Source organism: Homo sapiens, chromosome 19 (genome assembly GCF_000001405.40).
Source record: "Homo sapiens chromosome 19, GRCh38.p14 Primary Assembly".
NCBI classification, from domain to species: domain Eukaryota; kingdom Metazoa; phylum Chordata; class Mammalia; order Primates; family Hominidae; genus Homo; species Homo sapiens.
In genome coordinates, this window is record NC_000019.10 from 23,304,756 (window position 1) to 23,314,654 (window position 9,899).

At 43.7% G+C, this 9,899-nt stretch overlaps 1 protein-coding gene and 2 long non-coding RNA genes across 8 annotated transcripts in view; 2 read left to right on the forward strand and 1 right to left on the reverse strand.

Moving 5' to 3' along the window:
* Positions 1-248: 248 nt before the first annotated feature.
* ZNF91 (zinc finger protein 91) overlaps positions 249-9,899 on the reverse strand; it is a 90,468-nt gene continuing 80,817 nt past the window's right edge. For 4 of the 6 annotated variants that reach the window (XR_001753754.3, XR_007066980.1, XR_007066981.1 and 1 more), the window contains one exon: positions 249-4,342. The gene's annotated coding sequence lies outside the window, so the exon portion shown is untranslated. Of the gene's footprint in view, positions 4,343-9,520; positions 9,672-9,899 lie in introns of all 6 variants that reach the window. The other 2 variants (XR_007066982.1, XR_007066978.1) reach the window with 1 other exon arrangement.
* On the forward strand, positions 6,081-6,530 carry LOC124904675 (uncharacterized). Its single transcript, XR_007067207.1, has 2 exons — positions 6,081-6,169; positions 6,376-6,530. It is a non-coding gene; the product is annotated as an uncharacterized LOC124904675 (long non-coding RNA).
* On the forward strand, positions 7,256-8,779 carry LOC124904674 (uncharacterized). The gene is made up of 4 exons (XR_007067206.1): positions 7,256-7,336; positions 7,693-7,741; positions 8,431-8,536; positions 8,696-8,779. It is a non-coding gene; the product is annotated as an uncharacterized LOC124904674 (long non-coding RNA).

Genomic DNA, 9,899 nt, shown 5'->3' on the forward strand with positions numbered 1-9,899 from the left:
TGGTGAGCTGAGATTGTGCCATTGCAGTCCAGCCTGGGCAACAGAGTGAGACTCTGTCTCAAAAAAAAAAAAGTATTTTTTTGTTGCTCCTATGTGTGAGCAAGAAATTTACTAAAATCACAACTGTCATTCAATGCCAAGTCAAAAATGTTTCTTTTCATTCCGATTAATATAGAAACAGAGATAAACTAGCTTTAAAGGCACTAACCAAAATTGAAAATGCTGACTAATTCCATTTAAAGCTTACATCTTTTCAGGAACTGTTTATTTTTGAACATGTGACATTGGAACACAATTTTGTAATTGGTTTGGTTGACTGAAGAAGTGACTTCTTGAATTGGGGTAGAAAAGCCAAGGTCTGTAAATTGAAGATAGACTGCAATATTGAAAGCAAATTTCAGATTCCTTTGCACACTTTAACTTGAAGGTTAACAGATATAATATATGTAGATAAACACATACAAACACATACAATATATAAATATATCTATGTAATGTCCATTTATGAGTATGTCTTATAAAAAAAAAGGTAAGTCAGAGATCATTTCCCTACTTATTCTTCTCAGGGGAGGTGAATACAAGCAACCCACTTACTCAGCCCTGATTATTTCAATCAGCCAATTAGCTCAGCCCAGTGTATTCCAATTAGCCAATTAATTTGGTCTAGGTAATTCTGATCAGCCAATTAGCTCAGATCAGGTAAATCCAATCAGTCAGTTACCTCATTCTAGGTGATTTCAATCAGCCAATTAGGTCAGCACTTTTGATTTCAATCAGTCAATTAACTCAAATCAGGTCATTACAGTCAATTAACCAATCCCAGGAGATTAAAATCAGCCAATTAGTTTAGCCCAGGTGACTCCAGTCAGCCGATATTTGAGCCCAGATGATTTTAACTGGCCAATAAGCTCAGCCCAGCTGATTTCAATGTCAGTTAGCTCAGCCCAGGTGGATTCAATCAGCCAGTTCTCTAAATTTCAACTGTAGATTAATCAAGACTGGCCCCCAGTGGTGCATGAGAATAGCTCATGCATACACTGAGAAGGAAAGCAAGGTCCAGAAATGTTAACCTGCACAGAAAGTGTTACATGACTTTACTATCAGCTTATTTCCCAAACCTTGCCCCTGAAAGTGAAGCTTTGTCTATACAAAAAACATTCTATACCTATGTTCCATTCTGACATGCTACTGAGCCAGAGAAGAGAAATAATTCTACATCTGCACCCTTAGAATATGCTAAGATACTGAAAAATGTCTTTGGAGGAACAATTTTTGTGTACATATTTACATAGAAATACTCATATAATCTTGTATATGTATCAATCTTTGTATATACATTCATACAGAACAAAGATGTAGAAGGTGGAAGAATTAATAGGTACTGGTACCAATAGTAATGCAAATAGAAACTAGGATCTCACACATGGATCAAGTCAATTGTTGAGACTACGACTCATCTATTTGGATCCAACACACAGGTGTTGACTCTCATACCTAGAACCCGGACCTGTGTGAGATTGTTAATCTCATTATTGGACCTTCCTGCAGGTGTGATTGTGATATATGCACCTTCACAGAACCTTCATGATTTGACACATCTGCCTGGGCCCAGCCCAGATGGAATTGTGACATATCACTGGACTCAGCCCCTAGGTGATATTACCCTATTCTTCTGCTTTAGCGCTGCTCACAGGGGAATTGTAACGTATCACCGGGCCTTATATCCAGGTGATGTGAATCTTCTGCTTTGTCGCTGCCCACAGGGGGCATTTCAACATATAACTGAGCCCTACACCCAAATATGTGACTCCCTTGTCTGTGTCTGGCCCATATCAGCCATTGTGACATGTTGCTTGGTCTAACACCCGAGTTATATAACTCTTGTGCCCTGGCCCTGCCTACAGAGAGCATTGTGAGATATCTCTGTGTCCACCAGAGAGGTGATGTGACTCTCTTCTCTTCGCTGTTCCCTTCTCAAATGGGTGACTATGACATATCACGGGCCAAGTGCCTAGCTTATGTGACTTTTCCTTTCTTTATTTTTTTTTCTTTTGAGATGGAGTCTTGCTGTGTCACCCACACTGGAGTGCAGTGGCGTGATCTTTGCTTACTGCAGCCTCTGCCTCAAAGGTTCAGGTGACTCTCCTGCCTCAGCCTCCTGAGTAGCTAGAATTACAGGTGCCTGCCACCACACCCAGCCAATTTTTGTATTTTTAGTAGAGACAGCGTTTTGCCATGTTGGCCAGGCTGGTCTTGAACTCCTGACCTCAGGTGATCTGCCCACCTTGACCTCCCAAAGTGTTGGGATTACAGGCCACCGTGTCCGGCCAACTTTTTCCTTCTTTACACGTTCTGCCCACAAAGAAAAGTGTAACATATTGCTGCACTCAACACAAAGATTATGTTACTCTTTTTTGGTTCTGCTCTCAAAACGTATTGTGATGTATTCCTTGTCCTACCTCTATTGTGATGTGAGTCCCCTGCCTGGTCCCTGTCCACAAGGGGCAATGTGATATATCTCTGGGCCCATCAACCACTTGATGTGACTCTGCTCTCTTACCCGAGCATTGCCCAAAAAAGAGATTGGGGCCTATCTGCGAATCCAGAGCTTAGGTGATATGACCCTTCTCTCCTGCCTGGGCCATACCTAAAACAGAGAGAGTGACGTATTGCTTAGTCCAGCATACATGTTGTGTGACACTTCTTCCTGACCTCTGCCCAAACAAGTAACAGTGACTAACTCAGGTTTTGTTACCTAAATGATGTGATTCTCTTTTTCTGGGGACCTGTCCACAGTGAAGGTTGTGACAAATTGCTTGGTCCAGCACCTATGTGATGTGACTCTACTCTCATGCCTGGGACCTGTCCACTGGGTGATTGTAACATACAGCTGAGCTCAGCTTCTAGATTATGTGACTCTCTCCTTTTTCCTGAGTTCTACCCACAGGGGGTACTGTGAGATATCTCTGGGCCCCTCACCTAAGTGATGTGGCTCTCTTGCCTGTACCCTCCCCTCAGCAGGTATGGTGACACATTGCTGGACCCAGCACCAAGGTGATGTAACTCTCCTCTACTACTTCGGCTGTGCCCAAAAAAGGATTGTATAGCTGGGCTCAACAAATGAGTGAAGTTACTATTGTCTCATGCCTCAGCTCTGTATACACTGTATATTGTGACATATTTCTGGGTCCAACACCTAGGTGATGTGACTCTCCCGCATGGGTCCTGCCCACAAAACTATTATAATATGTATTTTCATTCATCACCTAGGTGATGTAACTTTTCTTTCTGCCTGGGTCTTGCCAAAATAGAAAATTGTGATATATCATTGGATCCAGAACCCAGGTGATGTGCCTCTCGTTTTTTTTGCCTGGGCCCTGCATAATTTGGGTATTGTGACATATCATTGGGCTCAACCCCTAGCAGGTGGAAGGCTTCAGTCTGGACCCTGCCCACAGAAGACCTTGTGACATGTCTCTGCATCCATCACATGACTCTCGTCTTCTGCCTGCATCATACCCACAGGAAAGATTATAACATATCACTAGGTTAAGAAACCAACTAATGTGTTTTGACTGCCTGAGTCTTTCATACAGGGGGCATTTTGACATATCTCTGGCAACACCTACTATCTGATATTACTCCTCTTTTTTACCTGGGTTTTGCCCATGTAAAAGATTGTGACATATCTCTTGACCCAGCGCTTAGGTAATGTGACTCTGCTCTTCTGCCTGGGCCATGTCCACAGAAATGAGAGTGACTTATCACTAGGGCCAGCACACAAGTGATGTGATTCTTCTGCCTGGTCTCTGCCTAAAGAGGTCATTGTGACATGTCTCTGGGCCTATCATCATGGGGATTATGACATATCACTTTGCCCAGCATCTATGTGCTTTGACAGCCTTCTCTTTAATGGACCTGCCCACTAGGGTGATTTGTGTCATGGAGCAGAGCCCACCTTCTAGGTTATGGGACTTTATTCTTTTTTGTGAATACCCAAAAATGGAATATCTCTGACATTCTCACCAAGGTGACTCTCTTTTCCTGGGCCCTCTTCTTAGGGGCATTTGTGACATATTGCTATACCCAGAACCTAGGTAATGTGACTCTTTTTTACTGCTTGGGCTTTGCCCAAGAAGTGCTTGAGATGTATTGCTGGGCCTAGCACCTAAGTAATGGTGACTCTCCTCTCCTTCCAAAATACTGCAGACATTGTGATATATTGCTGAGTCCAACACCTAGAAGGTGCAACTTTTCTGCAGAAGCACTGCCCAAAGGAGAATAATGACATATCTTTTCATTCATCATCTAGATGATGTGACTCTTCTCTTCTGTCTGGGCCCTGCCAAAAAAAAAAAAAAAAAGGTTATTGTAACATATCAATGGATTGAGCACCTAGGTAATGTAACTCTTCTCATTTCCCTGGGCCCTGCATATGTTGAATATCATGACCTAATGCTGGTCCCAACTTATACTGTATGAGAGACTCCTGCCTGGGCGATGACCACCAGAGGCCTTGTGACATATCTTTGCACCCATCACCTAATAGATGTGACTCTCTTCCTCTGCGTTCATGCTGCTTATAGAAAAGATTGCTACATATGGTGGAACCCACGAACCAGGTGATGTGTCTTTCATGCCTGGGTATTACCCAAAGGTAACAGTGTGACATATCATTGAGCCCTGAATCAGGGTGATGTGCTGCTGTTGTCTGTGCCCTGCTTTTAGTGTGGAATTGTAACATATCCCTGGCTGAGAACCCAGGTGATGTGTCTCTTTTTTCTGGTCCCTTCTTTCAGAAAAGTTTGTCACATATCTCTGGCCCAGAACTTAGGTGATGTGACTCTTCTGTTTGCTCCCTACACACAGGTAGGATTTTGACATATATATTGGCTCAGTGCACAGGTGCAATAATGACTCTAATATTTTGAACTGGCTAAGAGGACAAATACTGTCTGTCATAGCTAGGTGTAGAAAAATGGGTAAGATCCTGGGTTTCCTTTCTGTATGGAGGTTATAAAAGGTTACCACTCTCTCGCATATTGTATAAAGCCCTTGGGTGGTAGAGAGAGTGTCATCACAAGGCCCAGCGTGCAGATGAGATTGTGTTTCTTGTGTGCTCATCCTGACAACCATTAGGATTGTCACCCTCACACATGGATGAAGCCCACTGGTGAGGTACTTAATCTCACACATGGATGCAGTCCACAGTTAAAATTGTGACATTCATTTGTGAATTTCTGTCCAGAGTTGTGATGGTGACTCATTTCTAAACCCAGCTCTGGCAGGTGAGGACTCTCCTATCTGGACCCAGCCAATCAGAAAGATGTCGACTGTCATACCTGGGCTTAAAGCTACAGACACTATCATGAGTCCATAACAGCACAAAGGATTTAGAGGAAGTTGTGACTCCCATGCATACCATATAAAGCCCTTGGGTGATAACAGAACATGTCTTAACATGGCCCTGAACAAAGGTAAGATTGTGACACTCTTACACACACACAGCAAAGAGTAAAGATGATCATCCTTTCACAGCCCACTGTTGAGCTTCTGAATCTCATACCTGGAGACAGTCAAAAGTTGGAAAATTGACTCTCATGAGTGGATCTGGTCCACAGGTTGACTGCTGTCTCTCAGATCAAAATCTAGCACACCTGTGAGACTGTGATTCTAATAAGGGAACACAGTACACAGAAAAAATTGAGGCTCTCATGAGTGGATTCAGTCCATTGTAGAGATTGTGGCTCATGTATATAGAAGCAACATACAGGAAGCATTGACTCTCATACCTAGAATTTGGACCTTTGTGGAATTTTTAATCTCATCCTTGGACCTTCTTGCACGTGTGACATGTGCCTCTTCCCAGCACCCAAGTGATTTGACTCTCCTTATGTGGGCCCAGCCCACAGAAGGGATTATGACATATCACTGAACCCAGTAGCTAGGTGATGTGACTCTACTCTTTCCTTGACAATGTCCACAGGGGCATTGTGACATACTGGTAGGCCTTGCCCCCCAGGTGATGTGAGTCTCATGTTCTGCCTTGGTGATGTCTACAGGAAGCATTGTGACATATCGCTGGACTCAACACCAAGGTGATGTCACTTTTTTGCCTTAGCTCTGCCTTCAAAAGGCACTATTACAAATTACTTGGACTATTACCAAGGTGAGTTGAGTTTCTTGCTTGGACCGTCCCCACAGTAGGCATTGTGACATATCACCTGGAAAATGTGACTCTTCACCTCTGCCTACACCCTGACCACAGAAAGAATTTTGACATATCACTGGATCCAGAAACCAGATGATGTGTTTCTTTTGCCAGGACCTGGGTCATAGAAAATATTGTGACTTATCTGTGGGTCTCTTACCTAGGTGATGTGACTCACTCTCTTGCCTGGGGCCTTCACTCAGAGGGTATTGTGACATATTGCTGGACCAAGCATTTAGGTGATGTGACTTTCTCAACATCTTGGACTCTGACCAATAAGGAATTTGTATGTGTTGATGTGCGCTGCATCCAGGTGATGTGACTCTCCTCTCCTGCCTGGGCCCTGCACATATTGTGTGTTGTGACATGTTGCATGTTATCACACCTAGGTGATGCTACTTTCTCGCATAAGTCCTGCTCACAGAGGCATTACGATATATTTTTTATGTCTATTTCCTACGTGATGTGTCTCTCCTCTTCTGCCGGTCTTGCCAAAAGTGGGGATTGTGACATATTACTGGACACAGATTCTAGGTAACATGACACTCCTCTTTTGTCTGGGCCCTGGATATTTAGGGTATTGTGACGTATTTTTGCACTAAACATCTAGAAAATAAAAGGCTCCTGCCTGGGCCTTGCCCACAGGAGGCCTGTGACATATCTCTACATCTATCATTTAGGAAATGTGACTCTCCTCTTTGGCCTGCACCCTGTGCACAGGGGAGATGGTGACACATCACTGAGCCTGCTCAGCAGGTGATATAACTCTCTTTTCCTGCCTGGCCCCCACGTATATTGTGTATTGTGAAATGTGGCTGGGTCCAACACCTAGGTGACGTGACTCTCCTGCATGGGTCCTGCCCACAAGGTTATTATGGTGTGTCTTTTGTTCATCACTAGGTATTTCAAATTTTGTCTTCTGCCTAGGCCATGCCAAAAAAAAAAAAAAAAAGTACTGTGACACATCACTGGAGCCAGCAGTAGGTAATGTGCCTTTGCTGATTGGGTCTAGCCACAGAAGACTTTGTGACATATCGTTAGGCCCAGCAACCAGGTGAAGACACTCTGCTGCCTTAGTCCTGCTTTCAGGAGGGGATTATACCATATCCCTGGCTGAAAACACAGGTACTGTGACTCTCTTGCTGGTCCCTACTCTCAGGAAAAATTATGACATAACCCTAGCCCAGCAACAACGTGATATGACTCTCCTGCCTGGTCACTGCCCTCAGAGACGGTTGCAAATATCTCTGGCACAGCACCCAGATGGTGTGATTCTCCTGCTCACTCCCTCCTTACCCAATTGTGGGACTGTCATATATATCTTAGTTCAGTTTACAGGTGTCACAATGACTCTCATAACTTGAGCCAGCCAATATGAAAGATACTATCTCTCTTAGCTGGGCTTAGGAAAATGGGTCAAATCTAGGTCTCATTTTTGTATGAAGGTCATAGAGAATTAACCACTGTCTCGCATTTCATAGAAAGTCCTTGGGTGATACAGAGAGTGTCAACACAGAGTCCAAGACACAGGTGAGGTTTTGTTTCTCATCATTTTCTCACTTGAACAAAGCCCATTATTGAGGTCCTGAATCTTATAGGTGGACACAGTCTAGAGTTGAGATTGTGACTATCATACATAAACATGTAAGCACAGTTGGGATGATGACTCATTTTAAGGTCAGCTCATAGGAAGGTGAACATTCTTCATTCTGGACTCAGCTAATTGGAGAGATGTTGACTCTCATACTTGGGCTTAAGGCCACAGGTACAATCATGATTCATACCAGCACAAATGTCTCAGAGCAGATTGAGAATCTCATGCATCAGGTATAAAGCCCTAGGGTGATACATAGGTGAGATTGTGAGACTCACCAAGTCGACAGAAAAGATTGTCATCTTCCCACATGAACACAGCCCATTGTTAAGGCTCTGGATTTCACAACCAAAAGCAGTCAAATGTTGGAAAATTGACTCTTATATGTGAATCTGGTCCACAGGTAGGCAGGTGATTCTAAGACCAATATTCAGCACACCTGTGAAGCTGTAACTTCACCCAGATAAAACAGCACACAGGAAAGATTGTGCCTCTCATGCACAGATCCAGTTTATTGTTGAGATGAACTCATGTACTTAGACCCAACATATATGAGGTGTTAACTCACATACTTAGAAACAGGACATGGCTGGATTGTAAATATCATTCTATGACTTTCCTACAGGTGTAAATGTGATATATGCCTCTGGCCAGCACCTGAGTGATTTGACCTACAGTCTGGGACCAGCCCACATACAGGATTGTGACTTATTTTTGGACCCAGCACCTAGGTGATGTGACTCTATTATCCTGCCTTGGTGCTGCCCACAGGGCACATTGTTGGAACTCACTTCTCCTGCCTGGTTCCTGCTCACAGGGGGGATTGTGACCTGTGACTAACCCAGCACCTAGCTGATGTGACTCCTCTTCTTTTTATGTTCTTCCCTCAGGGGAGACTGTGATGTATCAGTGGGCCCGGAAGCCAGGTGATGTGTCTCTCCTTCATGTTCCTTGCTAACAGAGAACATTGTAATTTACTGCTGGGCTTGGCATCCAGGTGAGGTGACTTTGCTGCCCGTGTCCTGCTTTCAGGAGGGGATTGTAACATTTATCTCTGGCCCAGGTGAGATTGTGACACTCTTATGCACACAAAACTCATAGTAAAGATTTTCATTCTTGCCCATGAATTCAGTTTACTGCTTAGGTTCTGAATCTCACATTAGGAGGAAGTTAAAAGTTGGATAATTGACTCTCATACATGGATGTAATTCACAGGTGGGTTGGTGAATCTCAGACTATGATTCCATGAATAAGACACAGTCCACAGAAGGGATTGAAGTTCTCATGCACAAATTCAGTCCACTGTTAATATTGTGAATTTTGTACTTAGACCCAACATACAAGAGGTGTTTGCTCTCATAGCCAGAACAGGGACACGTGTAGGATCTTTAATCTTATCCTTGAACCTACCTGCAGCTCTGATTATCACATACACTTCTGCCAAGTACCTGAGTGAGAATGTCACAATACAGGCAAATACCCTAGGTGTAGGTCCATGAATGTCACATGGAATTGTGACATATATTCCTGCCCCTAGCACCTAGGGTGTATGTTTTTTATTCTTTTGTCTTGGCATTGCCCACATTGCATCTTGTGACATATTCCTAGGTCTAAAACCCAGGTGATGTGAGTCTCCTGCCTAGATTCTGCGAACAGGGGGAATTGTGACATATTTCTGGACCCATTATCTATTTGATGTTATTCTCCTCTCTTACTTGGTATTTGCCAACAGGTGACATTGTGACACATCTCTGGGCCCACCTAGGTAATGTGACTCTTCTTTTCTTCCTGGGCTCTGATCACAGAAGGGAGGGTAACTTGTCCCTGGATGCAGCCCACAGGAGATGTGATTGTTCTTGCTGGTTCCTGTCCATAAAGACAAGAGATACACACATTGTGATGTATCTCTGCGACCATAAACTAGATTATGTGACTCTCCTTTATTTCCAGAGACCTGTCCACAGTGCGAGTTGTGACATATCACTTGGCACAGCATCTGTGTTATGTGACTCTCCTCTCATGCCTGGGCCCTGCTCACTGAGGTTGTAACTGCAGCTGGCCCCAGCCCCTAGGTTATTTTTCTCTTTTCTTCAT